The sequence below is a fragment of the Homo sapiens genome, unplaced genomic scaffold (assembly GCF_000001405.40).
Source record: "Homo sapiens unplaced genomic scaffold, GRCh38.p14 Primary Assembly HSCHRUN_RANDOM_CTG11".
In the NCBI taxonomy this organism is placed as follows: domain Eukaryota; kingdom Metazoa; phylum Chordata; class Mammalia; order Primates; family Hominidae; genus Homo; species Homo sapiens.
Window position 1 is genome coordinate 119,044 of NT_167214.1, and position 16,376 is coordinate 135,419.

Consider the following 16,376-nt stretch of genomic DNA (forward strand, 5'->3'; position numbering starts at 1 on the left):
TCCCCGTCTCGGTCGGCACCTCCGGGGTCGACCAGCTGCCGCCCGCGAGCTCCGGACTTAGCCGGCGCCTGCACGTGTCCCGGGTCGACCAGCAGGCGGCCGCCGGACGCTGCGGCGCACCGACGCGAGGGCGCTGATTCCCGTTCACGCGCCCGCGACCTCCACCGGCCTCGGCCCGCCGTGGAGCTGGGACCACGCGGAACTCCCTCTCCCACATTTTTTTCAGCCCCACCGCGAGTTTGCGTCCGCGGGACTTTTAAGAGGGAGTCACTGCTGCCGTCAGCCAGTAATGCTTCCTCCTTTTTTGCTTTTAGGTTTTGTCTTGCCTTTTTTTTTTTTTTTTTTCTTTCTTTCTTTCTTTCTTTCTTTCTTTCTTTCTTTCTTTCTTTCTTTCTTTCTCGCTCTCGCTCTCTCGCTCTCTCCCTCGCTCGTTTTCTTTCTCTTTCTCTTTCTCTCTCTCTCTCTCTCTCTCTCTCTCTCTCTGTCTCTCGCTCTCGCCCTCTCTCTCTCTCTCTTTCTCTCTGTCTCTCTCTGTCTCTCTCTCTCTCTCTCTCTCTCTCTCTCTCCCTCCCCCTCCCTCCCTCTCTCCCCTTCCTTGGTGCCTTCTCGGCTCTTGACACTTAGCCGCTGTCTCGCCGTGTCCCGGGTCGACCGGCGGGCCTTCTCCACCGAGCGGCGTGTAAGAGTGCCCGTCGGGACGAGCCGGACCCGCCGCGTCCCCGTCTCGGTCGGCACCTCCGGGGTCGACCAGCTGCCGCCCGCGAGCTCCGGACTTAGCTGGCGTCTGCACGTGTCCCGGGTCGACCAGCAGGCGGCCGCCGGACGCTGCGGCGCACTGACGCGAGGGCGTCGATTCCGGTTCACGCGCCGGCGACCTCCACCGGCCTCGGCCCGCGGTGGAGCTGGGACCACGCGGAACTCCCTCTCCTACATTTTTTTCAGCCCCACTGCGAGTTTGCGTCCGCGGGACTTTTAAGAGGGAGTCACTGCTGCCGTCAGCCAGTAATGCTTCCTCCTTTTTTGCTTTTTGGTTTTGCCTTGCGTTTTCTTTCTTTCTTTCTTTCTTTCTTTCTTTCTTTCTTTCTTTCTTTCTTTCTCTCTCTCTCTCTCTCTCTCTGTCTCTCTCCCCTCCCTCCCTCCTTGGTGCCTTCTCGGCTCGCTGCTGCTGCTGCCTCTGCCTCCACGGTTCAAGCAAACAGCAAGTTTTCTATTTCGAGTAAAGACGTAATTTCACCATTTTGGCCGGGCTGGTCTCGAACTCCCGACCTAGTGATCCGCCCGCCTCGGCCTCCCAAAGACTGCTGGGAGTACAGATGTGAGCCACCATGCCCGGCCGATTCCTTCCTTTTTTCAATCTTATTTTCTGAACGCTGCCGTGTATGAACATACATCTACACATACACACACACACACACACACACACACACACACACACACACACACACACACCCCCCGTAGTGATAAAACTATGTAAATGATATTTCCATAATTAATACGTTTATATTATGTTACTTTTAATGGATGAATATGTATCGAAGCCCCATTTCATTTACATACACGTGTATGTATATCCTTCCTCCCTTCCTTCATTCATTATTTATTAATAATTTTCGTTTATTTATTTTCTTTTCTTTTGGGGCCGGCCCGCCTGGTCTTCTGTCTCTGCGCTCTGGTGACCTCAGCCTCCCAAATAGCTGGGACTACAGGGATCTCTTAAGCCCGGGAGGGAGAGGTTAACGTGGGCTGTGATCGCACACTTCCACTCCAGCTTACGTGGGCTGCGGTGGGGTGGGGTGGGGTGGGGTGGGGTGGGGTGGGGTGCAGAGAAAACGATTGATTGCGATCTCAATTGCCTTTTAGCTTCATTCATACCCTGTTATTTGCTCGTTTATTCTCATGGGTTCTTCTGTGTCATTGTCACGTTCATCGTTTGCTTGCCTGCTTGCCTGTTTATTTCCTTCCTTCCTTCCTTCCTTCCTTCCTTCCTTCCCTCCTTCCTTCCTTCCTTCCCTCCCTTACTGGCAGGGTCTTCCTCTGTCTCTGCCGCCCAGGATCACCCCAACCTCAACGCTTTGGACCGACCAAACGGTCGTTCTGCCTCTGATCCCTCCCATCCCCATTACCTGAGACTACAGGCGCGCACCACCACACCGGCTGACTTTTATGTTGTTTCTCATGTTTTCCGTAGGTAGGTATGTGTGTGTGTGTGTGTGTGTGTGTGTGTGTGTGTGTGTGTGTGTGTGTATCTATGTATGTATGTATGTATGTGAGTGAGATGGGTTTCGGGGTTCTATCATGTTGCCCACGCTGGTCTCGAACTCCTGTCCTCAAGCAATCCGCCTGCCTGCCTCGGCCGCCCACACTGCTGCTATTACAGGCGTGAGACGCTGCGCCTGGCTCCTTCTACATTTGCCTGCCTGCCTGCCTGCCTGCCTGCCTGCCTGCCTGCCTGCCTGCCTATCAATCGTCTTCTTTTTAGTACGGATGTGCTCTCGCTTTATTGTCCATGCTCTGGGCACACGTGGTCTCTTTTCAAACTTCTATGATTATTATTATTGTAGGCGTCATCTCACGTGTCGAGGTGATCTCGAACTTTTAGGCTCCAGAGATCCTCCCGCATCGGCCTCCCGGAGTGCTGTGATGACACGCGTGGGCACGGTACGCTCTGGTCGTGTTTGTCGTGGGTCGGTTCTTTCCGTTTTTAATACGGGGACTGCGAACGAAGAAAATTTCCAGACGCATCTCACCGATCCGCCTTTTCGTTCTTTCTTTTTATTCTCTTTAGACGGAGTTTCACTCTTGTCGCCCAGGGTGGAGTACGATGGCGGCTCTCGGCTCACCGCACCCTCCGCCTCCCAGGTTCAAGTGATTCTCCTGCCTCAGCCTTCCCGAGTAGCTGGAATGACAGAGATGAGCCATCGTGCCCGGCTAATTTTTCTATTTTTACTACAGATGGGGTTTCTCCATCTTGGTCAGGCTGGTCTTCAACTTCCGACCGTTGGAGAATCTTAACTTTCTTGGTGGTGGTTGTTTTCCTTTTTCTTTTTTTTCTTTTCTTTTCTTTCCTTCTCCTCCCCCCCCACCCCCCCTTGTCGTCGTCCTCCTCCTCCTCCTCCTCCTCCTCCTCCTCCTCCTCCTCCTCCTCCTCTTTCATTTCTTTCAGCTGGGCTCTCCTACGTGTGTTGCTCTGTTGCTCACGCTGGTCTCAAACTCCTGGCCTTGACGCTTCTCCCGTCACATCCGCCGTCTGGTTGTTGAAATGAGCATCTCTCGTAAAATGGAAAAGATGAAAGAAATAAACACGAAGACGGAAAGCACGGTGTGAACGTTTCTCTTGCCGTCTCCCGGGGTGTACCTTGGACCCGGAAACACGGAGGGAGCTTGGCTGAGTGGGTTTTCGGTGCCGAAACCTCCCGAGGGCCTCCTTCCCTCTCCCCCTTGTCCCCGCTTCTCCCCCAGCCGAGGCTCCCACCGCCGCCCTGGCATTTTCCATAGGAGAGGTATGGGAGAGGACTGACACGCCTTCCAGATCTATATCCTGCCGGACGTCTCTGGCTCGGCGTGCCCCACCGGCTACCTGCCACCTTCCAGGGAGCTCTGAGGCGGATGCGACCCCCACCCCCCCGTCACGTCCCGCTACCCTCCCCCGGCTGGCCTTTGCCGGGCGACCCCAGGGGAACCGCGTTGATGCTGCCTTCGGATCCTCCGGCGAAGACTTCCACCGGATGCCCCGGGTGGGCCGGTTGGGATCAGACTGGACCACCCCGGACCGTGCTGTTCTTGGGGGTGGGTTGACGTACAGGGTGGACTGGCAGCCCCAGCATTGTAAAGGGTGCGTGGGTATGGAAATGTCACCTAGGATGCCCTCCTTCCCTTCGGTCTGCCTTCAGCTGCCTCAGGCGTGAAGACAACTTCCCATCGGAACCTCTTCTCTTCCCTTTCTCCAGCACACAGATGAGACGCACGAGAGGGAGAAACAGCTCAATAGATACCGCTGACCTTCATTTGTGGAATCCTCAGTCATCGACACACAAGACAGGTGACTAGGCAGGGACACAGATCAAACACTATTTCCGGGTCCTCGTGGTGGGATTGGTCTCTCTCTCTCTCTCTCTCTCTCTCTCTCTCGCACGCGCACGCGCGCACACACACACACAATTTCCATATCTAGTTCACAGAGCACACTCACTTCCCCTTTTCACAGTACGCAGGCTGAGTAAAACCCGCCCCACCCTCCACCCGTTGGCTGACGAAACCCCTTCTCTACAATTGATGAAAAAGATGATCTGGGCCGGGCACGCTAGCTCACGCCTGTCACTCCGGCACTTTGGGAGGCCGAGGCGGGTGGATCGCTTGGGGCCGGGAGTTCGAGACCAGGCTGGCCGACGTGGCGAAACCCCGTCTCTCTGAAAAATAGAACGATTAGCCGGGCCTGGTGGCGTGGGCTTGGAATCACGACCGCTCGGGAGACTGGGGCGGGCGACTTGTTCCAACCGGGGAGGCCGAGGTTGCGATGAGCTGAGATCGTGCCGTGGCGATGCGGCCTGGATGACGGAGCGAGACCCCGTCTCGAGAGAATCATGATGTTATTATAAGATGAGTTGTGCGCGGTGATGGCCGCCTGTAGTCGCGGCTACTCGGGAGGCTGAGACGAGGAGAAGATCACTTGAGGCCCCACAGGTCGAGGCTTCGGTCGGCCGTGACCCACTGTATCCTGGGCAGTCACCGGTCAAGGAGATATGCCCCTTCCCCGTTTGCTTTTCTTTTCTTCCCTTCTCTTTTCTTCTTTTTGCTTCTCTTTTCTTTCTTTCTTTCTTTCTTTCTTTCTTTCTTTTTCTTTTTCTCTCTTCCCCTCTTTCTTTCCTGCCTTCCTGCCTTTCTTCTTTTCTTCTTTCCTCCCTTCCTCCCTTCCTTCTTTCCTCCCGCCTCAGCCTCCCAAAGTGCTGGGATGACTGGCGGGAGGCACCATGCCTGCTTGGCCCAAAGAGACCCTCTTGGAAAGTGAGACGCAGAGAGCGCCTTCCAGTGATCTCATTGACTGATTTAGAGACGGCATCTCGCTCCGTCACCCCGGCAGTGGTGCCGTCGTAACTCACTCCCTGCAGCGTGGACGCTCCTGGACTCGAGCGATCCTTCCACCTCAGCCTCCAGAGTACAGAGCCTGGGACCGCGGGCACGCGCCACTGTGCCCACACCGTTTTTAATTGTTTTTTTTTCCCCCGAGACAGAGTTTCACTCTCGTGGCCTAGACTGCAGTGCGGTGGCGCGATCTTGGCTCACCGCAACCTCTGCCTCCCGGTTTCAAGCGATTCTCCTGCATCGGCCTCCTGAGTAGCCGGGATTGCGGGCATGCGCTGCCACGTCTGGCTGATTTCGTATTTTTAGTGGAGACGGGGCTTCTCCATGTCGATCGGGCTGGTTTCGAACTCCCGACCTCAGGTGATCCGCCCTCCCCGGCCTCCGGAAGTGCTGGGATGACAGGCGTGAGCCACCGCGCCCGGCCTTCATTTTTAAATGTTTTCCCACAGACGGGGTCTCATCATTTCTTTGCAACCCTCCTGCCCGGCGTCTCAAAGTGCTGGCGTGACGGGCGTGAGCCACTGCGCCTGGACTCCGGGGAATGACTCACGACCACCATCGCTCTACTGATCCTTTCTTTCTTTCTTTCTTTCTTTCTTTCTTTCTTTCTTTCTTGATGAATTATCTTATGATTTATTTGTGTACTTATTTTCAGACGGAGTCTCGCTCTGGGCGGGGCGAGGCGAGGCGAGGCACAGCGCATCGCTTTGGAAGCCGCGGCAACGCCTTTCAAAGCCCCATTCGTATGCACAGAGCCTTATTCCCTTCCTGGAGTTGGAGCTGATGCCTTCCGTAGCCTTGGGCTTCTCTCCATTCGGAAGCTTTGACAGGCGCAACCCCACCCAGAGGCTGGCTGCGGCTGAGGATTAGGGGGTGTGTTGGGGCTGAAAACTGGGTCCCCTATTTTTGATACCTCAGCCGACACATCCCCCGACCGCCATCGCTTGCTCGCCCTCTGAGATCCCCCGCCTCCACCGCCTTGCAGGCTCACCTCTTACTTTCATTTCTTCCTTTCTTGCGTTTGAGGAGGGGGTGCGGGAATGAGGGTGTGTGTGGGGAGGGGGTGCGGGGTGGGGACGGAGGGGAGCGTCCTAAGGGTCGATTTAGTGTCATGCCTCTTTCACCACCACCACCACCACCGAAGATGACAGCAAGGATCGGCTAAATACCGCGTGTTCTCATCTAGAAGTGGGAACTTACAGATGACAGTTCTTGCATGGGCAGAACGAGGGGGACCGGGGACGCGGAAGTCTGCTTGAGGGAGGAGGGGTGGAAGGAGAGACAGCTTCAGGAAGAAAACAAAACACGAATACTGTCGGACACAGCACTGACTACCCGGGTGATGAAATCATCTGCACACTGAACACCCCCGTCACAAGTTTACCTATGTCACAATCTTGCACATGTATGCTTGAACGACAAATAAAAGTTAGGGGGGAGAAGAGAGGAGAGAGAGAGAGAGAGAGAGACAGAGAGAGACAGAGAGAGAGAGAGAGGAGGGAGAGAGAAAACGAAACACCACCTCCTTGACCTGAGTCAGGGGGTTTCTGGCCTTTTGGGAGAACGTTCAGCGACAATGCAGTATTTGGGCCCGTTCTTTTTTTTTCTTCTTCTTTTCTTTCTTTTTTTTTGGACTGAGTCTCTCTCGCTCTGTCACCCAGGCTGCGGTGCGGTGGCGCTCTCTCGGCTCACTGAAACCTCTGCTTCCCGGGTTCCAGTGATTCTTCTTCGGTAGCTGGGATTACAGGCGCACACCATGACGGCCGGCTCATATTCCTATTTTCAGTAGAGACGGGGTTTCTCCACGTTGGCCACGCTGGTCTCGAACTCCTGACCTCAAATGATCCGCCTTCCTGGGCCTCCCAAAGTGCTGGAAACGACAGGCCTGAGCCGCCGGGATTTCAGCCTTTAAAAGCGCGGGCCCTGCCACCTTTCGCTGTGGCCCTTACGCTCAGAATGACGTGTCCTCTCTGCCGTAGGTTGACTCCTTGAGTCCCCTAGGCCATTGCACTGTAGCCTGGGCAGCAAGAGCCAAACTCCGTCCCCCCACCTCCCCGCGCACATAATAACTAACTAACAAACTAACTAACTAACTAAACTAACTAAATAAATAAAATCTCTACACGTCACCTCTAAGTGTGTGTTCCCGTGAGGAGTGATTTCTAAGAAATGGCACTGTACACTGAACGCAGTGGCTCACGTCTGTCATCCCGAGGTCAGGAGTTCGAGACCAGCCCGGCCAACGTGGTGAAACCCCCGTCTCTACTGAAAATACGAAATGGAGTCAGGCGCCGTGGGGCAGGCACCTGTAACCCCAGCTACTCGGGAGGCTGGGGTGGAAGAATTGCTTGAACCTGGCAGGCGGAGGCTGCAGTGACCCAAGATCGCACCACTGCACTACAGCCTGGGCGACAGAGTGAGACCCGGTCTCCAGATAAATACGTACATAAATAAATACACACATACATACATACATACATACATACATACATACATACATACATCCATGCATACAGATATACAAGAAAGAAAAAAAGAAAAGAAAAGAAAGAGAAAATGAAAGAAAAGGCACTGTATTGCTACTGGGCTAGGGCCTTCTCTCTGTCTGTTTCTCTCTGTTCGTCTCTGTCTTTCTCTCTGTGTCTCTTTCTCTGTCTGTCTGTCTCTTTCTTTCTCTCTGTCTCTGTCTCTGTCTTTGTCTCTCTCTCTCCCTCTCTGCCTGTCTCACTGTGTCTGTCTTCTGTCTTACTCTCTTTCTCTCCCCGTCTGTCTCTCTCTCTCTCTCTCCCTCCCTGTTTGTTTCTCTCTCTCCCTCCCTGTCTGTTTCTCTCTCTCTCTTTCTGTCTGTTTCTGTCTCTCTCTGTCTGTCTATGTCTTTCTCTGTCTGTCTCTTTCTCTGTCTGTCTGCCTCTCTCTTTCTTTTTCTGTGTCTCTCTGTCGGTCTCTCTCTCTCTGTCTGTCTGTCTGTCTCTCTCTCTCTCTCTCTGTGCCTATCTTCTGTCTTACTCTCTTTCTCTGCCTGTCTGTCTGTCTCTCCCTCCCTTTCTGTTTCTCTCTCTCTCTCTCTCTCTCTCCCCCTCTCCCTGTCTGTTTCTCTCCGTCTCTCTCTCTTTCTGTCTGTTTCTCACTGTCTCTCTCTGTCCATCTCTCTCTCTCTCTGTCTGTCTCTTTCGTTCTCTCTGTCTGTCTGTCTCTCTCTCTCTCTCTCTCTCTCTCTCTCTTTCTGTCTCTCACTCTCTGTGTGTATCTTCTGTCTTACTCTCCTTCTCTGCCTGTCCGTCTGTCTGTCTGTCTGTCTGTCTCTCTCTCCCTTTCTGTCTCTCTCTCTCTCTGTCCCTCTCTCTTTCTGTCTGTTCCTCTCTCTCTCTCTGTCTCTGTCTTTCTCTGTCTGTCTGCCTCTCTCTTTCTTTCTCTTTCTGTGTCTCTCTGTCTCTCTCTCTGTGCCTATCTTCTGTCTTACTCTCTTTCTCTGCCTGCCTGCCTGTCTGTCTGTCTGTCTCTCTCTGTCTCTCTCCCTGCCTTTCTGTTTCTCTCTCTCTCTCCCTCTCTCTCTCCCTCTCTCGCTCTCTCTGTCTTTCTCTCTTTCTCTCTGTTTCTCTGTCTCTCTCTGTCCGTCTCTGTCTTTTTCTGTCTGTCTCTCTCTTTCTTTCTGTCTGTCTCTGTCTCTGTCTCTCTCTCTCTCTCTGCTTGTCTCTCTCACTGTGTCTGTCCTCTGTCTTACTCTCCTTCTCTGCCTGTCCGTCTGTCTGTCTGTCTCTCTCTCTCTCCCTCCCTTTCTGTTTCTCTCTCGCTCTCTCTCTCTCTCTCTCTCTCTCTCTGCCTGTTTCTCTTTCTCTCTCTGTCTGTCTCTGTCTTTCTCTGTCTGTCTCTTTCTCTGTCTGTCTGTCTCCTTCTCTCTGTCTCCGTCTCTGTCTCTCTCTCTCTGTCTCTCTCTCTCTGCCTGTCTCACTGTGTCTGTCTTCTGTCTTATTCTCTTTCTCTGTCTGTCTGTCTCTCTCTCTCCCTTCCTGTCTCTTTCTCTCTCTCTCTCTCTCTCTTTCTGTCTGTTTCTCTCTGCCTGTCTCCGTCTTTCTCTGTCTGCCTCTCTCTTTCTTTTTCTGCGTCTCTCTGTCTCTCTCTCTCTGTGCCTATCTTCTGTCTTACTCTGTTTCTCTGCCTGCCTGTCTGTCTGTCTGTCTCTCTCTCTCTCTGTCTCTCTCTCTTTCTGTCTGTTTCTCTCTGTCTCTCTGTCCATCTCTGTCTTTCTCTGTCCGTCTCTCTCTTTCTCCCTGTCTCTGTCTCTGCCTCTGCCTCTCTCTCTCTCTGTCTCTCTCTTTCTATCTGTTTCTCTCTGTCTCTCTGTCCATCTCTGTCTTTCTCTGTCTGTCTCTCTCTTTCTCCCTGTCTCTGTCTCTGCCTCTCTCTCTCTCTCTCTGTCTGTCTCTCTCACTGTGTGTGTGTCTCTGTCTCTGCCTCTCTCTCTCTCTCTCTCTCTGTCTGTCTCTCTCACTGTGTGTGTCTGTCTTCTGTCTTACTCTCCTTCTCTGCCTGTCCGTCTGTCTGTCTGTCTCTCCCTCTCTCTCCCTCCCTTTCTGTTTCTCTCTCTCTCTCTCTCTCTTTCTGTCTGTTTCTCTCTTTCTCTCTCTGTCTGTCTCTTTCTCTGTCTGTCTGTCTCTCTCTTTCTTTTTCTCTGTCTCTCTGTCTCTCTCTGTGCCTGTCTCTCTGTCTGTGCCTATCTTCTGTCTTACTCTCTTTCTCTGGCTGACTGCCTGTCTCTCTCTCTCTCTCTCTCTCTCTCTCTCTCTGCCTGTCTCCGTCCCTCCCTCCCTGTCTGTCTGTTTCTCTCTCTGTCCATTTCTGTCTGTCTCTTTCTCTTTCTCTCTCTTTCTTTCTCTCTGTCTCTCTCTGTCTCTCTCTGTCTCTCTCTCTCTCTCTCTCTCTCTCTCTCTCTCTCTCTCTCTCTGCCTTTCTCTCTCACTGTGTCGGTCTTCTGTCTTACTCTCTTTCTCTGCCTGCCTCTCTGTCTGTCTGTCTGTCTCTCTCCCTCCATGTCTCTCTCTCTCTCTCTCTCACTCACTGTCTCTCCGTCTCTCTCTCTTTCTGTCTGTTTCTCTCTGTCTCTGTCTTTCTGTGTGTCTGTCTGTCTCTCTCTCTATTTGTCTTTCTCCCTCCCTGTCTGTTTCTCTCTCTCTCTCTCTCTCTCTCTCTCTCCCTGTCTGTCTGTTTCTCTCTATCTCTCGCTGTCCATCTCTGTCTTTCTATGTCTGTCTCTTTCTCTGTCAGTCTGTCAGACACCCCCGTGCCGGGTAGGGCCCTGCCCCTTCCACGAAAGTGAGAAGCGCGTGCTTCGGTGCTTAGAGAGGCCGAGAGGAATCTAGACAGGCGGGCCTTGCTGGGCTTCCCCACTCGGTGTATGATTTCGGGAGGTCGAGGCCGGGTCCCCGCTTGGATGCGAGGGGCATTTTCAGACTTTTCTCTCGGTCACGTGTGGCGTCCGTACTTCTCCTATTTCCCCGATAAGCTCCTCGACTTCAACATAAACGGCGTCCTAAGGGTCGATTTAGTGTCATGCCTCTTTCACCGCCACCACCGAAGATGAAAGCAAAGATCGGCTAAATACCGCGTGTTCTCATCTAGAAGTGGGAACTTACAGATGACAGTTCTTGCATGGGCAGAACGAGGGGGACCGGGGACGCGGAAGCCTGCTTGAGGGAGGAGGGGTGGAAGGAGAGACAGCTTCAGGAAGAAAACAAAACACGAATACTGTCGGACACAGCACTGACTACCCGGGTGATGAAATCATCTGCACACTGAACACCCCCGTCACAAGTTTACCTATGTCACAGTCTTGCTCATGTATGCTTGAACGACAAATAAAAGTTCGGGGGGGAGAAGAGAGGAGAGAGAGAGAGAGACGGGGAGAGAGGGGGGAGAGGGGGGGGGAGAGAGAGAGAGAGAGAGAGAGAGAGAGAGAGAGAGAGAGAGAGAGAAAGAGAAGTAAAACCAACCACCACCTCCTTGACCTGAGTCAGGGGGTTTCTGGCCTTTTGGGAGAACGTTCAGCGACAATGCAGTATTTGGGCCCGTTCTTTTTTTCTTCTTCTTCTTTTCTTTCTTTTTTTTTGGACTGAGTCTCTCTCGCTCTGTCACCCAGGCTGCGGTGCGGTGGCGCTCTCTCGGCTCACTGAAACCTCTGCTTCCCGGGTTCCAGTGATTCTTCTTCGGTAGCTGGGATTACAGGTGCGCACCATGACGGCCGGCTCATCGTTCTATTTTTAGTAGAGACGGGGTTTCTCCACGTTGGCCACGCTGGTCTCGAACTCCTGACCACAAATGATCCACCTTCCTGGGCCTCCCAAAGTGCTGGAAACGACAGGCCTGAGCCGCCGGGATTTCAGCCTTTAAAAGCGCGGGCCCTGCCACCTTTCGCTGCGGCCCTTACGCTCAGAATGACGTGTCCTCTCTGCCATAGGTTGACTCCTTGAGTCCCCTAGGCCATTGCACTGTAGCCTGGGCAGCAAGAGCCAAACTCCGTCCCCCCACCTCCCCGCGCACATAATAACTAACTAACTAACTAACTAACTAAAATCTCTACACGTCACCCATAAGTGTGTGTTCCCGTGAGGAGTGATTTCTAAGAAATGGTACTGTACACTGAACGCAGTGGCTCACGTCTGTCATCCCGAGGTCAGGAGTTCGAGACCAGCCCGGCCAACGTGGTGAAACCCCCGTCTCTACTGAAAATACGAAATGGAGTCAGGCGCCGTGGGGCAGGCACCTGTAACCCCAGCTACTCGGGAGGCTGGGGTGGAAGAATTGCTTGAACCTGGCAGGCGGAGGCTGCAGTGACCCAAGATCGCACCACTGCACTACAGCCTGGGCGACAGAGTGAGACCCGGTCTCCAGATAAATACGTACATAAATAAATACACACATACATACATACATACATACATACATACATACATACATACAGATATACAAGAAAGAAAAAAAGAAAAGAAAAGAAAGAGAAAATGAAAGAAAAGGCACTGTATTGCTACTGGGCTAGGGCCTTCTCTCTGTCTGTTTCTCTCTGTTCGTCTCTGTCTTTCTCTCTGTGTCTCTTTCTCTGTCTGTCTGTCTGTCTGTCTGTCTCTTTCTTTCTTTCTGTCTCTGTCTTTGTCCCTCTCTCTCCCTCTCTGCCTGTCTCACTGTGTCTGTCTTCTATCTTACTCTCTTTCTCTCCCCGTCTGTCTCTCTCTCACTCCCTCCCTGTCTGTTTCTCTCTCTCTCTCTTTCTGTCTGTTTCTGTCTCTCTCTGTCTGCCTCTCTCTTTCTCTATCTGTCTCTTTCTCTGTCTGTCTGCCCCTCTCTTTCTTTTTCTGTGTCTCTCTGTCTGTCTCTCTCTCTCTCTGTGCCTATCTTCTGTCTTACTCTCTTTCTCTGCCTGTCTGTCTGTCTCTCTCTGTCTCTCCCTCCCTTTCTGCTTCTCTCTCTCTCTCTCTCTCTCCCCCCTCCCTGTCTGTTTCTCTCTGTCTCCCTCTCTTTCTGTCTGTTTCTCACTGTCTCTCTCTGTCTGTCTGTTTCATTCTCTCTGTCTCTGTCTCTGTCTCTCTCTCTCTCTGTCTCTCCCTCTCTGTGTGTATCTTTTGTCTTACTCTCCTTCTCTGCCTGTCCGTCTGTCTGTCTGTCTCTCTCTCTCCCTGTCCCTCTCTCTTTCTGTCTGTTTCTCTCTCTCTCTCTCTCTCTCTCTCTCTGTCTCTGTCTTTCTCTGTCTGTCCCTTTCTCTGTCTGTCTGCCTCTCTCTTTCTCTTTCTGTGTCTCTCTGTCTCTCTCTCTGTGCCTATCTTCTGTCTTACTCTCTTTCTCTGCCTGTCTATCTGTCTGTCTCTCTCTGTCTCTCTCCCTGCCTTTCTGTTTCTCTCTCTCTCCCTCTCTCGCTCTCTCTGTCTTTCTCTCTTTCTCTCTGTTTCTCTGTCTCTCTCTGTCCGTCTCTGTCTTTTTCTGTCTGTCTGTCTCTCTCTTTCTTTCTGTCGTCTGTCTCTGTCTCTGTCTCTGTCTCTCTCTCTCTCTCTCTCCTTGTCTCTCTCACTGTGTCTGTCTTCTGTCTTACTCTCCTTCTCTGCCTGTCCATCTGTCTGTCTGTCTCTCTCTCTCTCTCCCTACCTTTCTGTTTCTCTCTCGCTAGCTCTCTCTCTCTCTGCCTGTTTCTCTCTTTCTCTCTCTGTCTTTCTCTGTCTGTCTCTTTCTCTGTCTGTCTGTCTCTTTCTCTCTGTCTCTGTCTCTGTCTCTCTCTCTCTCTCTCTCTCTCTGCCTCTCTCACTGTGTCTGTCTTCTGTCTTATTCTCTTTCTCTCTCTGTCTCTCTCTCTCTCTCCTTTCCTGTCTGTTTTTCTCTCTCTCTCTCTCTTTCTGCCTGTTTCTCTCTGTCTGTCTCTGTCTTTCTCTGTCTGTCTGCCTCTCTCTTTCTTTTTCTGCGTCTCTCTGTCTCTCTCTCTCTCTCTCTGTTCCTATCTTCTGTCTTACTCTGTTTCCTTGCCTGCCTGCCTGTCTGTGTGTCTGTCTCTCTCTCTCTCTCTCTCTCTCTCTCTCCCTCCCTTTCTCTTTCTCTGTCTCTCTCTCTCTTTCTGGGTGTTTCTCTCTGTCTCTCTGTCCATCTCTGTCTTTCTATGTCTGTCTCTCTCTTTCTCTCTGTCTCTGTCTCTGCCTCTCTCTCTCTCTCTCTCTCTCTCTCTCTCTCTCTCTGTCTGTCTCTCTCACTGTGTGTGTCTGTCTTCTGTCTTACTCTCCTTCTCTGCCTGTCCGTCTGTCTGTCTGTCTCTCCCTCTCTCTCCCTCCCTTTCTGTTTCTCTCTCTCTCTCTTTCTGTCTGTTTCTCTCTTTCTCTCTCTGTCTGTCTCTTTCTCTGTCTGTCTGTCTCTCTCTTTCTTTTTCTCTGTCTCTCTGTCTCTCTCTGTGTCTGTCTCTCTTTCTGTGCCTATCTTCTGTCTTACTCTCTTTCTCTGGCTGTCTGCCTGTCTCTCTCTCTCTGCCTGTCTCCGTCCCTCCCTCCCTGTCTGTCTGTTTCTCTCTCTGTCTCTGTCTCTCTGTCCATCTCTGTCTGTCTCTTTCTCTTTCTCTCTCTCTGTCTCTGTCTCTCTCTCTCTCTGCCTGTCTCTCTCACTGTGTCTGTCTTCTGTCTTACTCTCTTTCTCTGCCTGCCTCTCTGTCTGTCTGTCTCTCTCCCTCCATGTCTCTCTCTCTCTCTCACTCACTCTCTCTCCGTCTCTCTCTCTTTCTGTCTGTTTCTCTCTCTGTCTGTCTCTCTCCCTCCATGTCTCTCTCTCTCTCTCTCACTCACTCTCTCTCCGTCTCTCTCTCTCTTTCTGTCTGTTTCTCTCTCTGTCTGTCTCTCTCCCTCCATGTCTCTCTCTCTCCCTCTCACTCACTCTCTCTCCGTCTCTCTCTCTCTTTCTGTCTGTTTCTCTGTCTGTCTGTCTGTCTGTCTGTCTCTCTCTCTCTCTCTCTCTCTCTCTCTCTCTCTGTTTGTCTTTCTCCCTCCCTGTCTGTCTGTCTGTCTCTCTCTCTCTGTCTCTGTCTCTGTCTCTCTCTCTTTCTCTTTCTGTCTGTTTCTCTCTATCTCTCGCTGTCCATCTCTGTCTTTCTATGTCTGTCTCTTTCTCTGTCAGTCTGTCAGACACCCCCGTGCCGGGTAGGGCCCTGCCCCTTCCACGAGAGTGAGAAGCGCGTGCTTCGGTGCTTAGAGAGGCCGAGAGGAATCTAGACAGGCGGGCCTTGCTGGGCTTCCCCACTCGGTGTACGATTTCGGGAGGTCGAGGCCGGGTCCCCGCTTGGATGCGAGGGGCATTTTCAGACTTTTCTCTCGGTCACGTGTGGCGTCCGTACTTCTCCTATTTCCCCGATAAGCTCCTCGACTTCAACATAAACTGTTAAGGCCGGACGCAACACGGCGAAACCCCGTCTCTACTAAAAATACAAAGCTGAGTCGGGAGCGGTGGGGCAGGCCCCTGTAATGCCAGCTCCTCGGGAGGCTGAGGCGGGAGAATCGCTTGAACCAGGGAAGCGGAGGCTGCAGGGAGCCGAGATCGCGCCACTGCACTACGGCCCAGGCTGTAGAGTGAGTGAGACTCGGTCTCTAAATAAATACGGAAATTAATTAATTCATTAATTCTTTTCCCTGCTGACGGACATTTGCAGGCAGGCATCGGTTGTCTTCGGGCATCACCTAGCGGCCACTGTTATTGAAAGTCGACGTGACACGGAGGGAGGTCTCGCCGACTTCACCGAGCCTGGGGCAACGGGTTTCTCTCTCTCCCTTCTGGAGGCCCCTCCCTCTCTCCCTCGTTGCCTAGGGAACCTCGCCTAGGGAACCTCCGCCCTGGCGGGGGCCCTATTGTTCTTTGATCGGCGCTTTACTTTTCTTTGTGTTTTGGCGCCTAGACTCTTCTACTTGGGCTTTGGGAAGGGTCAGTTTAATTTTCAAGTTGCCCCCCGGCTCCCCCCACTACCCACGTCCCTTCACCTTAATTTAGTGAGTCGGTTAGGTGGGTTTCCCCCAAACCGCCCCCCCCCCCCCGCCTCCCAACACCCTGCTTGGAAACCTTCCAGAGCCACCCCGGTGTGCCTCCGTCTTCTCTCCCCTTCCCCCACCCCTTGCCGGCGATCTCATTCTTGCCAGGCTGACATTTGCATCGGTGGGCGTCAGGCCTCACTCGGGGGCCACCGTTTTTGAAGATGGGGGCGGCACGGTCCCACTTCCCCGGAGGCAGCTTGGGCCGATGGCATAGCCCCTTGACCCGCGTGGGCAAGCGGGCGGGTCTGCAGTTGTGAGGCTTTTCCCCCCGCTGCTTCCCGCCTCAGGCCTCCCTCCCTAGGAAAGCTTCACCCTGGCTGGGTCTCGGTCACCTTTTATCACGATGTTTTAGTTTCTCCGCCCTCCGGCCAGCAGAGTTTCACAATGCGAAGGGCGCCACGGCTCTAGTCTGGGCCTTCTCAGTACTTGCCCAAAATAGAAACGCTTTCTGAAAACTAATAACTTTGCTCACTTAAGATTTCCAGGGACGGCGCCTTGGCCCGTGTTTGTTGGCTTGTTTTGTTTCGTTCTGTTTTGTTTTGTTCGTGTTTTTCCTTTCTCGTATGTCTTTCTTTTCAGGTGAAGTAGAAATCCCCAGTTTTCAGGAAGACGTCTATTTTCCCCAAGACACGTTAGCTGCCGTTTTTTCCTGTTGTGAACTAGCGCTTTTGTGACTCTCTCAACGTGCAGTGAGAGCCGGTTGATGTTTACTATCCTTCATCATGACATCTTATTTTCTAGAAATCCGTAGGCGAATGCTGCTGC

At 52.7% G+C, this 16,376-nt stretch overlaps 1 long non-coding RNA gene across 1 annotated transcript in view; it reads left to right on the forward strand.

The window, feature by feature from the left end:
* The window catches only part of LOC100507412 (uncharacterized), a 29,568-nt gene extending 21,915 nt beyond the window's left edge, over positions 1 to 7,653 (forward strand). Inside the window, exons 3-7 of the long non-coding RNA NR_038958.1 lie at positions 2,562 to 2,658; positions 2,786 to 3,786; positions 3,948 to 4,039; positions 5,735 to 5,952; positions 6,741 to 7,653. This is a non-coding gene — a long non-coding RNA (uncharacterized LOC100507412). The remainder of the gene's footprint in view (positions 1 to 2,561; positions 2,659 to 2,785; positions 3,787 to 3,947; positions 4,040 to 5,734; positions 5,953 to 6,740) is intronic.
* The last annotated feature ends 8,723 nt before the right edge of the window (positions 7,654 to 16,376 follow it).